This window comes from Homo sapiens, chromosome 11, assembly GCF_000001405.40.
Source record: "Homo sapiens chromosome 11, GRCh38.p14 Primary Assembly".
Lineage (NCBI taxonomy): Eukaryota > Metazoa > Chordata > Mammalia > Primates > Hominidae > Homo > Homo sapiens.
The window spans coordinates 122,026,043-122,049,082 of NC_000011.10; the positions used below are offsets into that span (position 1 = coordinate 122,026,043).

General features: G+C 39.7%; 1 long non-coding RNA gene across 1 annotated transcript in view; it reads right to left on the reverse strand.

Moving 5' to 3' along the window:
* Positions 1-2,286: 2,286 nt before the first annotated feature.
* The window catches only part of MIR100HG (mir-100-let-7a-2-mir-125b-1 cluster host gene), a 394,543-nt gene continuing 373,789 nt past the window's right edge, over positions 2,287-23,040 (reverse strand). Inside the window, exons 4-5 of the long non-coding RNA NR_137178.1 lie at positions 7,272-7,420; positions 2,287-2,803 (exon numbers count right to left, since the gene is read on the reverse strand). This is a non-coding gene — a long non-coding RNA (mir-100-let-7a-2-mir-125b-1 cluster host gene). The remainder of the gene's footprint in view (positions 2,804-7,271; positions 7,421-23,040) is intronic.

Here is a 23,040-nt window from a genome sequence, read left to right on the forward strand (position 1 = left end):
CACATTTCTTCACACTTCTTTCGTCAGATTTACCGTTTCGTCAGATTTACAACGTTTTCCCTGGATCTTTGGGGTTTTTTTTATTTCTGAAGCCTCCTGAGTCACAAAAAACTTTTAAAATAAATTTGTTATGCTTTTCTCTTGTTAATCTGTCTTTTATTATAGGAGCGTCCACCATGTCCCTTGCAGTAAGTGAAAAAAAGTTATTTTTTTCTCCCCTCTGTGCTCAAGCTTCAAACAGAAGGGTGGTTCTAACACAGCCTATCTGCTGTGGTCCAGGCTCTTTCCTTCCATTCAAACCAGGCTGCCTCACTGCTCCTGTTAAGACTATTTCTGTAGCTTGTCATGTTGTTAATCACATATTTGCTGACAAATCTCCTTTCTCTTTTTGTTCCGTGATTCTTCTTTTGTTAGGTCTTCTCTTCTATTCCCTTCAAGAGTGCCGCTTCCTCTATCTCCAAAACTTCCCATTGCTGAGGTCCAGAATGTCTACTTTTTTGTCCTCTGCAACATTCCTCTAGTGTCTCCTGCAGCTTTGACGATAAACAATCGCCTTTTGCAAATGTGTCCCACAGCTCCACGTCTCCAGGTGCTACACAATTAGATGCTTCCAGAGGGCAGAACGTGCTAGATGGACTGTGACATCGAGTTGACCTGGCTTCACATCTCAGCACTGCCTCTCATTTACCGGAGGATACTGGGAAAATTGTGTAACCTCTCTGAGTCTTGGTTTAGATATCAGTAAAATTGTGATAATAATAAGAACCCCCAGCTAAGGTTGTTATAAAGTGAAACGATGGACATAATGCAAATAGGAGGCTTATTCATTCATTCCTTTATTTATTTGCTCAGCAAGCATCTATGGTGCCCCTCCTATGTCCCTCTAAGTGCATACTCAGTGGTAGGTGATATTGCGAAAGCCCTGAGTCTTTTCACCTCAACACATCTTCTAAATGTGCACTTCTCTATTTTTGCCTTTTGCTCGTCTTCCAGTCTTCTAGGTTCAAGCCCATAATTCTTGGTAATGCTACCTTCTCTCAGCTCCTGTATTCCAACCATCAAGTCTTGCTTGACTTGCTCATTTTTTTCTTTCTTTTTCCCACCATCCTAGGACCAAGCCCATGTCAGCACAAACCTGGATCCTTCTTTCATGCCAATCCTCAAGTTTTGACTTTATTTCAGTTGGAAATTGGCATCCAGGGAAGTGTTTGAATAGGGAAGGAAAAGGATCAAAGTGGTGCTTTTGGAAGTTTAATTTTTGCTCCACATGAGTTCCAGTGGGAAGTGGCCAGTGGCAAGGAGACAAGTAAAAAGTTTTAACAATTTAAATATAAACTGATAAAGACTTAAAGTAAGGTGATGCTATTAGGCATGGAACGGAGAAAGAGGAGGCTGCAAGAGGCATTTTGAAGGAACCTGTGTGGGAGTGAATTAGGTTTGAGGTGTGAAGATAACTCCACAATTTAGAGTCTTGGTAACTAGGAGACTAATGATACCTGTTTCACAACTTCAGTAGCACTTTGTGCTGCTCACGTGTGTCTTTTCACCTACCATCTGGTGTATGTTATTTTTTTTAATGAATAATTGTCTTTCTCTACAAATTGGTTATAAACTCCGTAAAGCAAGGTCTATGTGTGTCCTAGTCTATTTTCTATTGCTTGTAACAGAATACTTAAACTGGGCAATTTATAAAGAAAAGAAATTTATTTCTTACAGCTATGGAAGCTAAGTCCAAGATCAGGGGACCACATCTAGTGAGGACCTTCTTGCTGGGGGGGACCCTGCAGAGTCCTGAGGTGGTGCTGGACATTACATGGCAAGGGGGCTGAGTGCTAGCTAAGGTCTCTCTTCCTGTTTTATAAAGCCACCAGTCCCACTCTCATGATAACTTATTCATCCACTAATCCACTAACCCATTAATTCATGAATGGATTAATTCATTCATAAGGGTAGGATCCTTATGACCCAATTACCTCTTAAAGGCCCCACCCCTCAATGGTACTACATTGGAGTCTAAATTTCAACATGAGTTTTGGAGGAGACAAATATTTAAACCATAAGAATGTCCCATCACGCTTTCCTTTTTATTTCAAAATTTGCTTACACTGAGTCTAGGCAGTGCTAGTAAGTGTTGCTAATTTGTTCATTCTTGTTGTGAGTACTTTGATGATGTTGCAGGAATGGAAGGTGGGGGAGCAAATTTTTTCCCCAGAGAATTAGAGTTACGTCAGTATTATTAGCTTATTGCTAAACTAAGTCTATTCTATAAAGAAACATAAACATTCACATTATGCAAAAAATTTATTTTCATCAGTGAAATACAACCCCCATGAAAGCTCCCACACAATCTCAGTAGGCTGGTGGTACAGTGCCTTGGAAAGAGAAATCAGGAGTGACATTCAATAGCCAGCAACCCCAGAAAACCCTCTATCTTGATGGAAAGGGCTACTTGTTTTCTGTCTCCTCATCCTCACATGTACATTCCATCTGCCTAATGCTTTCCTCTCTTAATTGAAAAACAAACAGACATGACACACACAAAAAAGCATTTCTTGCCCCATTTCTTAGCAAGCAAGGTCAACTTATGCCGCACTCAGGCTGTGTAGTAGGTGCAGGAAAATGTTTTTGTGATTTCTTGAAGCACAGCTTTTACACAGTGTGGCATAGATATGAAGTCCTGCAGACAGCAGCTGCAGGCAGAGTGGGCTGGTATGCAGCAGGGGAATGCATGGGAGGGCTTTCTGAGCAGTCTTTGAGCAGATGGCGAGTCTAGGCATCCGGGTGCAAATCACTCCAGTCACATCTGAAAACCAAACAAGAATTCTTTAGAATAGAACTGTGACGTCTGGACAGTGTTATTCATTCTACAGTGATATCAGAGAAAGGGCTTCCCATCTTTTCTTCTGAGTAGACCCCCGCTCCAAAAAAATATCCTAGAGCAATAGCAAGAGTCAAGAAGTCCAAGGCTAAGCAAAAGGAGTAACATTGGCTGGAGGCTGGGGTCCTAGAAAAGGAAAGGCAAAAGACTACAAAAATGAAGAAGTGCTCATTAAGCTGAGGAATACGTCCAGGGACAGAACTGGGAAAAATCATAGAACAGATAACAGAGTGGTTAGGGAAATGATTTTAGACTTGCTAGCATCTCTCTTGTTATCTTGGATTGGTCATCTATTCAATACACAGAAAATAAAGGACTTCCTAGAATGATATAACAGAAAGATCAGTAGCTCTCTTAACAGACGGGCTTAGGTTTTAACCTCACACTCTGTGAGTGATCTTGGCAAGTCACTTCAATTTATTGGGCCTGGGACTCTTCATCTATGAAAGAGGCAGGATGATATCTACTCCTAGGGTGTTATGAGGATTAAATGAGATAATGTAGGAGAAGCTCAGCTCAGCTCAGCATGGCTTGGCAAACAGGGGACATTCAATACGTATGTGCTCTTTTTCTCTCTTCTCTCTTCTCTTTTTCTCATAGGAGATAGGGCTCACATAGACCTATAAAGGCAGAATTCTTTCACAAGCTGCCTTTAGGCAGAGAGAACAGAACTTGGTCAAGAACTGTGAAGGGCTGAAACTTTATACTACTTGTAAGCTCACAAGATAACCTGACAGATTCATGGATGCTGGCAGAAGACACAAGATTCCTGGGTCAGAGACAATGGACTTTACTCACAGCACAGCAAGCAATAAGAGTATTAGCATATTTGCTTTGACCCTCCAAGCCCCAATTCCCACAGAACAATGTGAAGAGAGCCAGGCAATACCTGCACACACTGTGGGGTGGCTTATGAGAGAGAAGCCCTGAGTATAGAAAACCCAAATTTTGCATAATGGACCCTAAGTGCACCTGCCCTATGCTCCAGCCCAGCTCCGTTTTTCCATATATGTTTCCACTATGGAAACATCCTTAAAAAGAGAGCCCAGCACAAGGACTGTCAGCACCTGCCAGATGTAAAAATGTAAGACACATGGAAAATTGTTTCCCAAAAGGGATAACAGAAATAATCCCTTTCCTTCCTGTCCTCTTACCAGGTTCATTAGCAGTGGCAGGCTTTCTGCACAACATTACTTTTCCCTGTGAACATGCAGTCTCACACATCCCACACTCCCCGTGTTTCCCTCTTTATCTCTTCTCCCATTAATGTAAGTGCTCAAGCACCTCATCAAGAACTTTCTATCCCCATTTTGACCTTTTTAGAGAAGTGCCAGAGCCCACAGTTGGGGAGGCTGCTGGCCTGACCAAAGGACAGGGCTTTTCTCTGGGAATCTCGTTTAAAGTTTTATGAAAAACATAATAAGAGGGGAATAAGAGAGGAGGTCAAGGGAGAGAATGAGACATCTCTCCTTAACTCTCTGCACTTGGGGAACATTTGATCCCAGCTTGGAGGTGAAAACGGAGCCAAGTTGGTGTCACTGAAATGAAGCAGGAAGTGTTCTGAGTCTCAGATATCTCCCTTCAGGTGCACGGGCCCAGAGCCAGCTGGATGTTTGGAGAGAGCAAGAGGCCACCTACATGGAGCTATTTGAGTGACACCAAAACATCTTCCTGCACCTGATATTTCCATTATGGTCTCTTCTCTAGCAGAGGCATGATCTAAAAAGGACACTGTTCCAATATAAATATGCCATCTGGGAGAAACAATTTCCACTATTTATAAATGCTTCCAGAGGTGGCCTATTCATTTAATGTCCTTATTTTAGTACAGCTACGTGCTAGACATTGTGTTAGCCACTGGACTTCAAGGGGGATCAACCATATGTCTTGCTCTCAGGAGTCTGCAGTAAGAATCAGGAAGTATACTGGGAATTAGGATGCAAGTGACAAGCTTTATGACAAGTGAATTGAGAGAATGACATAGGAACATAGACAAGGGGCATTTAATCTTATTTTGGAAGATCAAGAGATGTTTTTCAGTGGAAGCTAAATGTAAACTAAGACCCTGTATGTTGAGTCTTTCTTAGCTGTATTTTAGAGGTGAAGAAATGGAAGTTTAAAAAGTCTAAATGTCTTACCGAATATTATATGGCCTGGGAGTGACAAAGCCAAGACTCAGACATACTATATTTTAATATTGGCTTTATCATGGGTTTTCCCATGTGTATTAACATATTGGTTTATCTAGGCAGCTAGGGCCTTAGGAGACAAGACCTCTGAGAGACAAGTCTTAGTGGTGATGGGAGGTGCAGGAGTGTGGAGAGGGTTGGGGTGAAGATGATTGTGTGGGGTGAGGGTAGAGAGAGGGTGATGCTGCTTGGGAAAGTCTTCCCAGGGGTGGGGTGCTGGTGTAATGGGGGCTTTTGGAGGAGTGATCGATGAAGCCTGAAGACAGTGGAGAGTGTGAAGTTTCTTAGGGAGAAAAAAAGAGGAAGAAAGAGGGTAGTGGGAGGAGGAGGAGGAGGGAGGAAAGGAAAAGAAGATTAGGAGGAAGAGGAGGTAAAGGAAAAGGAGAAAGGGGAAAAGGAGAAGGGGAAAAAGGAGAAGGAAAAGGATAATTATTTAAGAATGAGATCATATCTTTTGCAGGAACATGGATGGAGCTGGAGGCTATTATTCCTTAGCAAACTAACACAGCAACAGAAAACCAAATACGGCATGTTCTCACTTATAACTGGGAGCTAAATTCATGATGAGAACTCATGAACACAAAGAAGGAAACAACAGACATTGGGGCCTGCTTGAGTGGGGAGGGTGGGTGGAGGGAGAGGAGTAGAAATAAATAACTGTTGGGTACAATGCTTATTACCTGGATTATGAAAGTCTGTACAAAAGACTCCCATGACACGAGTTTACCTATATAACAAACCTGCATATGTACCCCAAACCTAATACAAAAGTTAAATTAAAAGGATAATTAAGGAGAAGTTGTGATAGAAAATTTGATGTGAGCAGCAAAATCTAACTTTCTCTGTTTTATAATTGTATCCAGTGCTACATGAGTTAGTCATAGCCACTATTCCAGGAAGCAGGAGGCCAACACCTTCTCTGTAAAGAGAGAGAATTCAATCAGAGCCTCAACACAAAGCCCACTGCTGATTGGGTTCTTCACAGGAGCCTGAATTAGTAGTTCTTCCAGTCCTTTCAAACACTACTACCCCACCCCATCTTGTCAAGGTTTGCTCTGTTCCAGAAGGAAGTAAAGGAACAGGTGTTAAGAACCAGCTTCCCCACTCTACTTTGACCCTACAGGCGCCTGCAGTTTCCTAGGACTGACCTTAGCATTCGGAATGAGCATAGTGTCCTGTAGAGTGCAGGGTCAGTGCATTTCTGAAATAACAACCAAAAAAAGTAAAACTGGTTTTGAGTTGGACCGGGGCTTATATCATATGCTATGGTTCAAAGCTTTCCTCCTAGTCTTAAAGCCAAGCCAAACTCATTTGGGTTTCGAATATCACCATTTAGCAGTCCATTGGCCTGGGCCTCCTTCTCTTGACCGAACTCTCATCCAACCTAGGCAACATTTGGATTCAATTTGATAGAAAATGTGGGTGAGCTGCTTGCCAAATTCTTATGAATCTGTGTCAAACTCAGTGATTTAGGCTAAGATTTGGGGTGTGGCTGAGTCCCCAGAGGAATTCTGTGGTTGCATAATTCACAGAAAGTGAAGCAAAGGGTATTTTCAAAACTATTTCCAAAGAAGTGGACTCTGTAGAATCTCAGTCTATGGGGATTAAGATTTTGGAGACTTCACCACAGAATTTAAGTCTTTTCACAGTATGTAATGGTCTTTTAGGGATGTTTAACCATCTGTTCATTTTTCTCCCCCATCATTCCACCATATAGGTTATTATCCATTTGAACCAAAGGAAACCAGTACATAGGAATGATACATTACTTAACTCAAGGTCAAGAGGTAAGAAAATGGCTGGACTAGGCTATAGGCCTGGTTCAATGAATTCTGTTGTACAGGGGCTACCAAAACCTTGATCTCTGACCCCTTCAAAGATGGTGATTTTTTTTCTTTCATTACAAGACAGGTTACTACAGCAACAACATACAAGCCACAGTAAATATAGGGTATTGAGACTGTTCCCTGGGAAATTGACTCTGAGGTGGAGACTTGCATGTAGGGAGTTATCAGGAGTGCTCTCAGGGATGATACTCACGAGAGAGTGAAGGAAGCAGGACTGGGCAAAGGGAAAAGATGGACATTGGGCATGTACAGGAGAGGGCTACCCAGATCCCTTGGGGCGTTCTGGAGCTCTGATAGTCATTCACAGTTGTTTAACATTGTGGCAAACGATCTGGACAGACATTAGTTAAGAGTTACCTCTGGAGAGTAGACATGACCTTGGACTAGGAAGTTCTCTTTGGCAGAGAGCAATTTTCATGGAAGGCTCAGCTGTGTGAGGTTAGCAGCCAAATTCCTGGCAGCTGGAGTGCCTTGGTCCTCAAGGAGGTGGTGCCCCACAGCATCCACTACAGGAAGGGAAATAGAATTGTACATTGAAAACCCAGAGTACCATAGCCAGTTTCATTGAGGTCATGTCCATAGTGATGTGAAATTGCTCATGGGAGCTAGAATGGGGCCTAGAGATATCTAAGGCTCGAGAGACCAAAGAGACAAACACCCAGCAAATGCTAAGGGTGTGTAGGAGTAAACGACTATGGCTTTTGCATTTTTATACAGGGGGTAAAATCAGGTTTGATAGAGTAAAAGATAATGGGGGAAGAGAAGATGTCAAAGAAGAAATCAAGGACAGACAAAAAAGTCTGCAAGGGAAAAGGAATGTGATTTAGCTAAGATGAGTGTGGAAACTTCCAGAACAAATTGAAGACACATAATCCTTGAGTTATATTTTGTAAACATCCTGGAATCCCTACTTTCTTCCCAGAAGCTACTCTAAGGCTTCCCAGAAGCTTGGCCTTGGTGCTACCGTCATACCCTAAAGCTGGCCTAGCTAGCAGCTGATCACTGGAGTAGGAGTTAGGACCCCTGAGTTTTTAGGGATCCACTTGAGCAATAGGGTGGCCTTGGACTAATAAATTTGTTTTTGTTACCTATTCTTTTCCTCTCCTTCCAGTACTAAAATTACTGAAAAATGTGCCCATTGTTTTATACCAAATTACTAGGTGAGTATTTCAATTTTCTAAAACATGAAAACATGAGGGGTTTTAAAAATGGCTTCCTTCTCTCTTCTCTTCTCTCTCTCATCTCTGTCCCTAACTCTGATTTTTTTATGACAAGATTATGATGCTATTTTGTTTTTTTGTTGTTACTATTTTCATTTTCGCTTACATTGTTTTCTCCTTGAGCAGATTCTCTTTTCAGATCAACTCAAGGTTCTCGAACACATCTGGTACGCTCTTAACTTTAGCTGCTAGAAGTATTCCCAGCACTTGGAATTCCATCCCATCTACATCAGAGCTGTCAACAAAATGGTATCCAGTTGTTAAGGCCCATCTCAATAGCAGTGTGCACTTGGTTCCTTACTCACGTCATACGCAGCATATTGAAATTGAAATTGCCCACTGACTTCCATTCATTCATTCATTAGCCTTTTCTGAAATCTCCTGTTTTTTGTTCCCATCCTGATGTGATTTGACCCTGCCCTGCCATTTCTTATATCTACTTGTCTCATTCTGCCTTACTCTATAGTCACGTGGTTTCTCATTCTATTCTATTCATCTGGTTTCTATTTTAAACTGAAAACTCTGGAGGGCAGAGATTATATCTAAATATTATTAGATTTTTTTCTTGCAACACAATATCATGATATATATATATATATATACACACACACACACACACACACACACATACATATTATACATATATACATACGAGCAACCTAGTAGTCAGAGCTCATAAATATTTAATTGAATTTGCTTTCTAAGAACAATGAGGGAAACCAGGAAAACATTCAAATAATGAAAAGCTTGATACCCCTTAACTTCTGACTCTCAACTTAGTTATCCAAACTGAGTGAGATAGTCCTGAGCTCAAAGTTAGCTGCTCACAGTGAGTAGCTTTGTGAACTTAAATTAATAATGAGCCTATATGAGCCTTAGTTTTCTCATCTGTAAAATAGGAATGATAATTGTAACTACCATGGTAGATGGGACAGTAGTACATAGCCTGGCATTTTATAAATCTACACATGTTCAACTGAAGAAGGTTGAAGGATGGAGCTGGAGTACATTAGCTGAGAACTGAGTCCCCTTGGCCCCAGCAACAGATCCTGACTCCTTCACATAGTGCCAGTGCTACTGGGCTGTGAGAAGTAAAGGATCTTGAGGTCATTTATTTTTGATACCAAAGTTCTCTTTGATACCAGTTTTAACTCTTCTGAAGAGGATAACTAGATTTTTTTTAATGTGGACCAAAAAATTGTCCACATGAATTTATAAAACTGAATTATATTCTGATCAGCCCTTTATTATTCATAGGAGCAGTTCCACTTCTAGATTATCAGTGGAATTCTTTTCCCTTATTTTTTGGGCTGCCTTCTCCCTGCCACCCAGCATGTGGCTGAGCCACATCCCCCAGTGCGGGCTTAGGGAATGCAAACTCATTTTAACTTTTTCCTGAGCAGAACATCACTGGGAAGAAAATTGGAACCCCCAAAAGCCATACAAAGCATTCCAAAGTAAAATATAAGAAACATTTTGAATGTTTTTCTGTTTTGGATTATCTGTGCCACTATTCATTTCCCTTTTTTGTGGATAATCAAGAACTAGATGTATTATGGTTAACAAGACTTGAAAATTGCTGAGAAAACTCTGCAGGGCATTGAAGCATTTTAAAGGTAAAATTCATAATCCTCAACATTTACACTTGACAGCCCATGCTACCCTGGAGGAGGGGAGTAGGGTAGGTAGATAGCTGCAATAGTTGCAACTGCAGATTTCTTTTTTTTTTCCCCAAGGAAAAAAAACAGCTTCAGCTGTTTCAAATCATATAATTTGAATAATGATTAAAATCAGATAAAGCCCCCAAGACAGACAGAAAAGGAAAAAGAAACTCTATCTTGCACTGCAAAGATTTTTTTTTTACATCAACTTAACTTTTTAAGAAAGGAAAGATTGTTTTCTTTTTTAGCCAAGGAATTTCTTCATTGCATTTAGCCAAATATAGGTTCCACACCCTTTTCTAACTCCAGCCATGTGAATGTCCTGATAAGCACACGGCAAAAAATAAGCTAAGTGAAATATTCTCATTGCCTCATGATCTCTAGAGTGTATGTCATCAAGGCACTCATCCAAATATTGCAAGTGAGTTATCTGAAATTCAGTTTTGAGGAATCCAGAGCCACCTCCTCAGTCATGGAGGGCCTCTGGGATCCAGAGGGAGCTTATAATGAAGGTAAGGATTTGAGCTGGAAGTCAGAGTGCTTGAGCCCTTTCCTTGGTTGTATACTCCTAGGTCAGCTCCAACCAGACCTTAAAAGAGTTAGAAGTTCACACCCATTGCTTTTTTCTTCATAGGATTCAATTCCATGAAAACAATGCAATTTCATTTGTGTAGTTTTAAAATGTAGGAGGCACAAGTGACTAAGATATAGGATCCAAAGCTGAGGGCAGTGCAGTTCCTCTCCTCAAAGAGCTCACGGTCTAATACAAGAGACAGATTATTATCGCTATTGCACAGAGAGATTTGCCCACTCTCTCTAACACAATTGCGCTTTACTGGTTGCTAAGAGTGCAGTGGGAACACGGAGTAGGTGTTCTGAATGGCATTTTAGGGCAGCCCAGAAAGGCTGCATGAAAAGTTGGTATTTAAACCGGGCCACGAAGAATAAATAGAATTTTGACAGATAGAGGAAAAAGAGTGAGACTTTCAAGCTGTCAGCTGATGTTTCTAAGAGAAACCTCTGGCCAAGGGACACTAAGAGGTAATACTGGACAAACTCAGTAAGGAACTGATAAAAAGGTCTTCAGAAGGTGATAGGAAGAGGCTGGCAATCAACAAGTGAGAGGGCTTACAAATATCAGCCTTAACCACCACCCTATTGTGCTTCCACCAGGTACAGTCCCATCTCTCCTTCCATGAATTCCTTTCTCTAGAGGAAACTGACGGTTCTCAGGAGAAGTCCTAATTCCCCCAACCCCACCAACCTTTGCTTCCTCTGAGATTACTATCGTTATTTTACATAACAAAAATGACAACAGTATAAGTTACTCTGCCTTACCTAACAAACAATGATAAGAATAATAATAGCTATCATTATTTAGCATTTATTATATGTTAGGCATTTGTGCTTAGCATTTTACATATAAAATGTCGTTCAATCTTTGCAACAGCCCTTTGAGCTATGTACTTTTATTAACACACTGTATTTCACTGCTGAGGAAATTTAGGCTTGGAAACTTTAAGTAATGTGCCCATCGTCACTCAGCTAGTAGAGTTGAAACTCAAGTTTCTCTAGTAATCTCAAAGCCCAAGTTTTTAATCTCTACATCATCTGGTCTCTCTAGGAATTTCATTCTCCCATAACAATAATATCATAGTTTTATATAGTGCTCTGCAAATGCATACAAAGTTTATTCCTTTTTATTTGTTCATTTAACGGCAATAGCCTTGTGTTGTTATTTTAATGTTTCATTTTTAAAAATTAACTTATTTTTAATTGACGAAATTTGTATTTGTTTGTTGCTCTCTCCTTGAGAATGGAGGCATTTAGTAAATATAAATTAAAGGGAAGAAAGGAAAAGGGAGAAAGTTTGGAAAAGAGGAGGAAGGAAGAGGAAGGGAGGAAGGGAGAGAAAGAAAAGGGAAGAAAGGAAAAAAGAAAGAAAGTATAGAGGAGAAAAAATAATATCTTGCTTTATCCATCACAAGGTTGATGGCTGATACCTTTATAACCAAAGACAGATTAACAACAGAGAAGCATAACAAACGTATGTAATTCATGTTTTATGTGACACAAGTCTTCAAAAATGAAGACCCAAAGACCCAGGAGAAACTGTATTTTTATGCTTAGGTTTGATGATGAATGTAGAGGCATGATTGGACAAAAAGGGGGTATGACTTAAAGATAACCTGGAGGGCACTTAGTAAGGCCTGATTCTTCAGATTCTTCTTAGTCTGTCTGTGGAACATTCCTTCTCTCTGGATGTAGGGCAGGACACCTGTCACATGAGGGTCTTCAAGAGAGGTCAGAAAGACCTTTCTGCTTCTGTGGTTTTCTCTGTTTCCTTCAGCTTAAAATACTCAGCATGCCAAGGTGCCATACTTGGGGGGTAGAATTTCCTGCACTCTGTCAAAAAAAGAAGGAAAAAAAGGAAGGAAGGAAGAGAGGAAGGAAAGAAAGAGGAAAGAAGGAGGGAAAGATGGGAAGAAGGAGGGGAGGAGGCAAAAGAGAGAGAGGAAGGACAATTTTCTGATAAATAAATCGAAGATCAGAGAGCTGAAGCAACTGGACTGGAGTTGTGACAAGTCAATTACAATATCAGGATCAGAATCCAGCTTATGGATTCCTGATGTGACCATCTTTTCACTGGATTGTTGACTTTGGTGATAAAGGTCCAGTATTTTTTTTTTATATATATACACACAGGTGAAGAGAGATTTTTAAAGTTCAGTTTTTATCTTTGGTCATCAGAAACAGTAGCATCGTGAGGTAAAAGAGTTAGCTTTAGGACAAAAATGAATTCTCTGCAGGAAAAATGGTGTCTGACCTTACAAATTAAAGTCACATGACTTAGGGCCTATTATTACACAGCAACAGTCACATACCAAGCATTACACAAACAGATGGAGGGGGTGAAAGACGACTTAATGAGAAATGCATGAGAGGAATGTGAGACATGCATGAAGAAGGAGCATTAAATACCTAGGATAACAGCTATGGCTAAGCTACTCTGAGTTGGGATAAAATAGGATAGGCTAATAAAGGAGTCAAGAATGAAGAATTCATTCTGCATGCCAAGGGGAAGAAACTTTGTGATTGAACCATTACTCTGGGACCTTCTCAAAGAATATTCCTTATCCTATCTCAATACTTATCCCCTCCCTGGAATTCTTTGACTGTGAAATCCTTTTATAACCAAGTTTATAATGATCAAAAGGATATTATGACATCAATTTTAAGGAAAAAAATCACCTATGCATGATGGGAAGGTGAAGTAGAAGTTGCATTAATATTAAGTTGGAAAAATAGGAAGGTGGGCAGAAAAGGAATCACTCTATGGGGAAAAATTAAGCAATTGGCTGAGGAGATGTGAATCTGCCTGGATCATCTAATCTCACCAAGCCTCAATCCAATAGCAGTTCTAATACTGTCACCTCCACACAGTGTCCACAGCCTAACAAAATTTTTCTTGGATGTGAAACCACTATATTCTTTACTGAGGTCTTCACCCTGAAAATTGACTTCACTCTGAAATATTAGTAAGATAAATGTTATGAATGGAAAAATTCCCTGAGCTCATTCTATTCGCTATACATTCTTTCTTTTCTTCTTTTCTTTTCTTTTCTTTTTTTGAGATGGAGTCTCGCTCTGTCACCCAGGCTGGAGTGCAGTGGCATGATCTCAGCTCACTGTAATCTCTGCCTCCCAGGTTCAAGCGATTCTCCTGCCTCAGCCTCCCAAGTAGCTGGGACTACAGGCGCATGCCACAATGCCCTGCTAAGTTTTTGTATTTTTAGTAGATACAAAAATATCTACTATATTTTCACCATGTTGGCCAGGATTGTCTCGATCTCATGACCTTGTGATCTGCCTCCCTCCGCCTCCCATAGGGCTGGGATTACAATCGTGAGCAACTGCGCCCGGCCACTATTCTCTATACATTCTTCTTATTTAGGTCCACTTCACTATTGTCTGTTTCAGATTGTAAAATTGCTGAGTAGAACAGTAATGTAATATACTCTCTATGAACTATTCCCAGCTAGGAAGCATCAATCTTTAGACAGTTCATAAAGAGGATGAAGAGGAAGATGACAATGACAATAACCAGGAGAGTGGACATGGGATTCCATAAGGGATGGGAAGAATGGCTGGAATTTTGCTACCTTGTGTATTAATAATTTAAGGCAGCATGGTATAGAGAAAAAAGCCTGGTCTTTTGAGTGTGAGATAGATATGGCTTCTCATCTTATTTCTCTTCATCATGTGGCCACAGTATAGGGTTTACTCCATGGATTTACAAGGTCAAGATACACTTCTAACAGATAGGAACTATATCCATGCCTCAATATTTAAACTATGGATAGATTTATAAACTTCACCTTGGAAAGTCTCAGAAGTATTCTCCAAGCAAGCTAAAAAAAAAAAAAAAAAAAAAAAGCAAATGGCAGCTGACTTAATGGAAAAATATAACAAAACAATAACCTGGAGACAATATCTAGGAGGGAACAATTCTGGGACAGCATTTCTTTTTTCCCCACCTGACTTCAGAGAGGTAGCAAGTATTCACTGGGAGGCATCACTTTAAGCCAGGTACAAAAACAGGCTCCAACTACAAAAAGTGCGTTTTCCTAACAAAAGTATTCCAAGCAACCTCCCTGTACACGGCACATTTTCTGAAAATCAATCAAGCCCTCTCATTCAGCTGAAGTCCAATCGCATTGTCTGTCCCTTCCTCCAGAAGCCGATTTCTGCCAGGTAGAAAATTAAGTTTCCTTTACTCTTCTTTCAGACACAATGCTTCAGCATCGCAGAACTGTTGTTCTGTGTGGGAAACCGACTTCCTGTCTCAATAAACAAGCGCACACAGGCTTTTCTGGACACATAATGGAGCCTTTTTTATTTTATACAAAAATCATTCCACACTTAACACATCAATGAAGCCACTTAAGCTCTACTGCATCTGAATTAAAGAGGAATTGTGTGATCAAAGGGTGTGAAAAGAACCACACAGGGTGTTCTTCAGATCCTCTACTTTTGTTACATTTGATACATAACAAACCCAATAAATATGCTTATCCCAGGAGCTAGTTTCATTATCTCATACCCTTAAGCCTGGCGAAAGTATGTCTGTACTGCCCTTCGTTCCACAGTGTCCATTTTATACTGACAGTTTTGGTGAAAAAGTGAAAATTATTTGGCATGTGGGTGAGATTGGGGGAATGAAGTGGCTTTCCCTTTAGGTTTTGTTTGTTTCTGTTTCACTAACTATAAATGCATATTTATATGTTTATGTGTGTGTATAAATATATATCTACATGTATCTATCTATATACACACCCAAAAGAACTATATATAAAAATATGTAATATATATATTACAGATATAAAAGCATGTACATTTCTCAAGTTAATATTACACATAAAATGATAACACGGGAAATTTCTTTTTCTTACCAAATATTTGAATATAAAGCAAAAAAGACATGATGAAAATTCTCCAGTGCCTAGAATTGAATAGGTGAATAGGACATACTATAATCCTTTTATACCTTTTCATGCTATGAACATAGCTTCTGTGAAGGTTACTAGGTATTTAACATTAGCTGTATTTTTTTAGTATCATGCATTGTAGGAGATTTGGAAAATTCCTAGAGAGTTCAGGCATCCTCATAAGCCACATATCACAACTACAAATATATTAAAGTGCATTTTGTGAATAATAATTCAAATACCATAAAGATGTGTCTTCCATGCAGTTGAAAAAAGGCATGAAATGCAAAATATGCAGTCAACGAATTAAAGTTGATTGAACATGTTATTTCAATTTATGCAATCCAATCAATATTGAATTGAGATTTATTCCTTTAGCTATCATTTGTATAGCTCTAGTGAATTGTTGAACAAGAACCCAAAATTGTTTAGATAGAAATCCTATCAATGAAGAAGTTCACATTGCAATTAGTTCAAATATAATCTGTGGAATGCCAATTATGAGTTAGCCAGTATTCTAGGTACAGAGGAGTCAAAGATTAAAAAGGCATGTCTCCTACTGTACTCATAGTCCAGTAAGAAAGAGACAACTGCAGACAAAGGTCCCCGTGCAAAGTGTGATGGTAACTTTCATGAGGTGCCCTATTGGAGTGTGGTGGAAGAAACAACTAATTTAGTATAGAGAAGTCAGCAATGACTTCCCCAAAGGAGTTTATATTTGAGCATGGTTTTAAAAATGGATGCAAAGATTAGAAGTTTATCAGACAGACAAATTGGAAGAAAAATATTAGGTAGAATGCAAAGAAGCCAAGGCATGCTTGAAAACATGAAAAAGCATCACGGGCTCTTAAATTGGTGCATAGTCTGTATGATTGGATTGTCGAGTTTATAAAGTGAAGAGAAGCTGCAGATGAGGCTGGGACGACAGGCGTGATTAAAGCATCCAAACTGTACTCTTGTAAGTAACCAGGAACCAAGTAAGATCTTAACAGATCAGAGTGATTTGAATTAGATGTTCTATTTTGTGTCTAGATACAGTGAGGTGTCCATACTAATCAACCCTTTGAATAATTATTCAGATCTGGTTGTATTGGTCTAAATAATTTAGCCAGTTGCATTTTTCTTTCTCAGTGCTCAGTTGTTTGGCACTGCATATGCCAGCCATGCAGATGACGGGCTGAAAGGTTTGGTTTACGTGCAGATGTTTTCAATGTTGTGTAGACAATCACAAACACTGAAAGAAAAAATATTCCAAGGGGGTGAAAGTCCCTTTACCATGCTTTCCAAATACATCATCATTGATGGTATCACTAATAGCAATTCAGCTTTGTTTAAACACAGTTATTAATATCAGATGACCATCTGTTTTCCGCTACAGTATATATATCATACAAACCTTTCCATGGAGCCTATGGACTGTTCTCTATTGCATAGACAAATAAAGCTCAATAAATAACCATAAAAATAAAAACATATTGATGCAGTTGTACATTCTCTTCTTGATTAATTCTGTGTGTGTATATACCCAAGGTCTAGACATACACAATCTGGCTTTCTCTGTGAAAAAATAAATCAATAAGTGCTTTTCCCCCTTCACTAATCCTATCCTGAATTGCCTGTCAACTTCCACTTACACTCACATAAAAAAATGATGTTTCATTTTGCTTTCGAATGATATACAGAGTCTCCTTTTTCCTTATTTTTATTTGGGGTTTATTTGTCCTTGAATTGTATGGCTGCACTTGATGTCATGATTTAAATGTGGTCTAAGGCAAGATCTTTCACTCAACAGCCCATAGGAATTCGAAAATAATGAGAATGGAATTTTCTAGTAAACAAATGCTGACAAACATGCCACTTAGATGTAATAAGCACAGAAAAATCACATTCGTTGGCTACGAGGGAGAGAGCTCGGGAAACAGAAGAAAATTTGTCCATGTTCATTTAAAAAATAATGTGACTCCACCATGAATTTTTCAAGATCTGAGCATGAAGAGGCCTGTACGTTCGTTTAATTAACACATTTAAAGGATGAAGTGACAAATAGAAGGATTTTCAGAGGAAAACAATCAAGAAAGTGGAGGTATTAGAAGCTATATTTTATGAGGAGAAGTAGAAAGATCCAGGAAGCTTTCACCTAGAGAGAATCATCAATCACGGAAATCTCCACAGATGGGTCCCCAAACTCACTAAGTTATGTGGGATAAAAGGATTTCACTTACTGTGCATATCTTTAAAAGGAAGCATGGCTGGAAGAAACAGAGATAAATATTGCTCCAATACAAGGAGAAACCTTCGAACACTCAGAGCCATCCGTATAATGGGTAAGCTGAGGAAGCAAAGGGTTTTGTATATACAGAAGTGTTCAAGCAGATGTTGGAGCACCATGAAGCAGGAATGCAGTAATTCAAGAATTAGAAGGGTTCTTAGGTTTCTAGAGATCCCAAGTTGTAATTCGAACTCATCTCAATCTACTGATTTTCCTTGGGTTCAGCCTATTATGAACTACAGTGCTTTCTCTCCTGCTATGGTTGAATGTTTGTGTCCCCTCCAAAATTCTTATGTTGGAACTTAAGCCCTAAGGTGATATTATTAAGAAGTGGGACCTTCAGGAGGTAATTAGGTCATGAGAGCTCTGTCTTCATGAATGGGATTAACAACTTTATGAAAAGGCTAGAGGAAATTAGCTAGGCTCTTTTTTCCTTTCTATCCCTTCTGCCTTGTGAAGAAACGGTGTTTGTCCTCTACAAAGGATGCAGCGTTCAAGGCAGCAGGACCTCACCAGACAGCAAACCTGTGGTGCCTGATCTTGGACTTCCTAGTCTGCAGAACTGTGAGAAACAAATTTCTGTTAATTACCTTCTCTCAGGCATTTTTTGACAGCATCTCAAGCAAACTAAGATGTCTCTTCAGCATCAGTCTGACTGCTGCCGCTCCTGATTTCGTCAAGCCTGAGTCAGACCTCAGTTCTGGACATCACAGTTATTTTAAAGTAACAGCCTTTTCCTAGATGATGATATTTGGTTGTTTTTGTTTTGATTTGTTTTTTTTCAGTCATAGCTAGTAATCTCACATCGACTTCTGACTGATGCTCTCATTTGAAGATTTGACTTTAGCATTCTTAATCTTGAACTCTATCATAGAGAGAAACAAAAAGAAAGACCTCAACCCTTCCTTGTACAGGGTCATTTCAGAACATTAAAAGATTTGAAACTCCGTCTCTACTAAAAATACAAAAATTAGCTGGGTGTGGTGGGGCTAGCCTATAATCCCAGCTACTCGGGAGGCTGAGGCACGAGAATGGCTTGAACCTGGGAAGCAGAGATTGCAGTGAGCTGAGATTGCGCCACTGCACTCCAGCCTGGGCGACAGAGTGAGACTCAGTTTCAAAAAAAAAATTAAAAAAAATCACACACACACCAAAAAAAAATCACAAAAAAAAAACTCCTTTTTTTTTTTTTTAAAAAAAAGATTGGCATCAAAAAGAGTTATAGAGATGAATGGTGGTGATGTTTGCACATTATGAATGTATTTAGAACAACTGAATTGTACATTTAAAAATGGTTAAGGTAATAAATTTTATGTTATGTGTATTTTACAATTCAAAAATTAGAAGAGGAAATAAAAGGTATAGTATGGGATTTTCGCATAGGCAATAATGCAGTTTATGATTTGAATTGGTCCATTCTTACTACTTTTCAAAGTGACCACTATTTTACTTGAGTGTTTTTCTTTCTAAAATCCTTGGGTCATTTTTACACATTTTAGTCTCATGCCATAAATCTGAAGCCAACCAAGACTGTATAGAGAATTGGGGAAACCTTCAAAGTTCTGGTGTCGCTCATTGATCTCTTGGGTAATTCAGTCCATTAACTAGTGGCTCATGTCATCTATAGACTATTACTCCCCTCAAGGCTCCTAGATTATTAACCAATACTGGAAAAAGGTTTTGGGGCCAGCTTACATGCCTCTCTGACTTGTCTGCTTTGGAATTTCCCTGTAAGTCCCTAGATTTTAGTACATGAGTTATCTCCCAAAAACAAACTTCCTTGTCAAGAAAAGGAAGCTTAAACAGGCGTCAAACGCATTCATGACACTCAGCAGTTTGATGAATGGAGAGTAAATGAATCATAGGCTTATGAATTACATGACTTTCTATGTACTCACATGTCTCAACAGGAAGGGGTGACAAGTTGGAAGCTTCATTCTTGATTCTTGAAAACCAAACTTATCTGAACATGCCATCTGAGCCCGTTTAAGGTTAACATGTCCTTGTTTCTAATGCTGACTGCTACCTTTTGTGGCCTTTAATTACTAAAATCTTTACAAATTTCTAGGAAATTCACATTGGGGCTGATGGGGGTGAAAAATAAATGACTTCTGAACGTCCTTTCAAGTCAAACAATCTATTATTCTTTTTTTTTTACTTAGGTAAGCCATACTGATTCCATAGAACAAGTCTGCTAGATCATAGCCTTACTACATGCAAGGGGAAAGCTCATTACCTGTTGGTAAAAGAAAAAGAAATCAAGCAAAGAGTTCTTTTTCTTTTTCTATTTTTTTTCTTTTCTTTTCTTTTTTTTTTTTTTTTTTTTGAGATGGAGTTTCACTCTTGTTGCCCTGACTGGAGTGCAATGGCGTGATCTTGGCTCACTGCAACCTCTATCTCCCGGGTTCAAGTGATTCTCCTGCCTCAACCTCCCGAGTAGCTGGGATTACAGATGGCCACCACCACGCCCCACTAATTTTTTGTATTTTTAGTAAAGACAGGGTTTCACTATGTTGGCCTGGTTGGTCTCGAACTCCCGACCTCAGACAATCCACCCACCTCGGCCTCCCAAAATGCTGGGATTACAGGTGTGAACCACCACACCTGGCCAAAGAGTTATTTTTCTTTGGAGACCTGGACAATACTGATTCTCTTAGCATGCATTTATTGAAGAACTAATGTGCGCCAAGCACTCAAGCTACAGCCTTTCCTCTAAAGGAGCTCCCAGTGTGGTGGGAAAGGGCCACAAGGGAGCAGGTAATGTTAACACACTATGAGAAACTAAGACAGGAATATGCACAGTGTACTCTGGGAACACAGGGGAGGGGACTCTAACCCCAAGGAGGGGTGGAAGAAGGCTGGGAAGCACTCCTAGTGGCATTGATGCTCAGGTCAAAGATGGAAGGATAAGTAAGACAGGAAGAGAAGAAGGGTGGAGATGCTGGGAGTTTGGAGAGAGTTTAGTGTGAATGTCACTTGGGGTTTCAGTTTCCAGTTGGGAATTCGGTGGGCAAGCCAAGGCTGGCAAACCAGGCCGGGGCTGGCTCATGAAAGGCCTTGGATGCCAGGTTAAGAACAGCAGATTAGGTACTGGCTTTAGTTCACATTTGGTTTCTGCTGTTATTGCTGTATCTGAGCTTGAATGCTGTTAGCATCTGGTTTAGCCACATGTCCTCAAAGAGCGTGTTTTCCTTTCACCTGCGTGTTTCTCTTAAAAATAATTTATCCTACAGGAAATAGGAGGAGGAGAGGGAGTAGGTGGGGATTTACTACTTAGTCTTAAGCCCTGGTAGAAACATTTTGACTTTTTATTCCACAGTTCTCGTTCAACGTTGGTTCAGCCCTCTGCATTCCTGGGCCTCGGTTTCTCATCTGGCAATTGAGATCACTGTGCTCTGTCTCAGACGTGCTGTGCGTCATTTGGAGAAAAGTTGTTATTTGACTACAAATGCTCTCAAGTTCCTAATCAGATTGTATGAATAATTCACAGACAACATCATCCAGGGATAAATTATATTTGGAACTTTTATGTTGACCATTTCTCAAGCCAGACTGCTGTGATTCATAACAACCTTTGGTGACGTTTTCTAAGAGGTAAAGAAAAGTAAACACAAAGAGTTCTTTTTAAAGATGAGGAAAGAATTAAGGAATAAAACAGTATCGGGGAACTGGAGAGACAGACCAAAAATACAGTGGGGGATTTTATATGTTTAAGAGTCATTAATACAAACAAAAAAAAGTCCAAATTATAGATACAGAGCAAGACTTTTTTAACACCTCCCACCCCAGTCCCTGGTTACCATCATTTCTATTCTCTGCATCTATGATTTCAACTCTTCTAGGTTCCATATATAAATGAGCACATGTGGTGTTTGTCTTTCTGTGGCTGGATTATTTCACTTAGCATTATGCTCTCCAGGTTCATTCACATTGTTACAAATGACCGAATTTCCTTATTTTTAAAGGTTGAATAGTATTCCGTTGTGTATATGTACCGCATTTTCTTTATCCATTCATCCATTAATGGATACTTAAGTTGATGCCATAGCCTGGCTACAGTGAATAATGCTGCAATAAACATGTGAGTGTAGCTATCTCTTTGACTTACTGATTTCACTTCCTTTGGATATATATCCAAAAGCAAAAATGCTGGATCATAGGGTAGTTTTATGTTTAATTTTCTGAGGAATCTCCATATTGTTTTCCACAATGGCTGTACTAATTTGCATTCCCACCAAGAGGAAGGCTTTTATTTGGGATCTGATACCATTAAGTTTTATTTTGTTTTATTTTATTTTATTTTATTTTATTTTATTTTATTTTATTTTATTTTATTTTATTTTAATTTTTGAGACGGAGTCTCGCTCTGTCACCCAGGCTGGAGTGCAGTGGTGCAATCTCGGCTCACTGCAAGCTCCGCCTCCCGGGTTCACGCCATTCTCCTGCCTCAGCCTCCCGAGTAGCTGGGACTACAGGCGCCGCCACCATGCCAGGCTAATTTTTCGTATTTTTTAGTAGAGACGGGGTTTCACCGTGTTAGCCAGGATGGTCTCGATCTCTGGACCTTGTGATCTGCCCGCCTCGGCCTCCCAAAGTGCTGGGATTACAAGCGTGAGCCACTGCGCCCGGCCCCATTAAATTTTAAACATTAAGCTGTGACAGATTTAGTAACATGGACAAGGACCCGTAGCTTGTGCATGACTGAGCAGGGATTCGTAACTAAGTCTTTCTGGCTTCAGAGGTCTTCAAAATTCTGCCTTGGTGCCTCTACTCATTGCCTCAGTGATTGATTCTCAAATAAGGACACGGTTTGGGATAAGGGTACAAAGACTTTGCCATACATGGGATTTTGTAAACGGTATCTGGGAAGTGAAGTCAGTAATTCTGGGGAAATCACAACTTTCCCAGGCCTTTCCACGGGGCATGAAAGCCACTACTTTAGTAAGATGTCCTGAGCATTGGTCTCCTGGTAAATCCATCTCAGCCCTGCAGTCACTTCCCATGGGCCCTAAGTACTGCAGGAAAAATCTGACTCATAGCAGCACTTCTTGTAACACATTCTGGCTTTGTGATTAAATTTTCCTTCTTTATTTTTTGAGTGTAGAAGCAGATAAAGAAGAGAAGAGATGAGTCTTATTCAGCTGATGTTTAAGAGAAGGTCCAATTATACCTCAAAAGAAGCACTTGCATAATAAAAAAGATTATTCCCATTTTACAGAAAACCTGAAGAAGTCATATCAAGGACTTGTTTAACTATTTAGTAAGAGCTGTTATCAGAGCAAAAACAAAAATAGAAGGGCTGTTTAGATGGTGAGGAAAATTGTGCACATACAAAAGCCTAAGGGTTCTTTTCTTCTCTTATTTATTTATTTATTTTATTTATTTTTTTTCGAGATGGGGTCTCGCTCTGTCACCCAGGCTGGAGTGCAGTGGCATGATCTTGGTTCACTGCAACTTCTGCCTCAGGGTTCAAGCAATTCTCCTGTC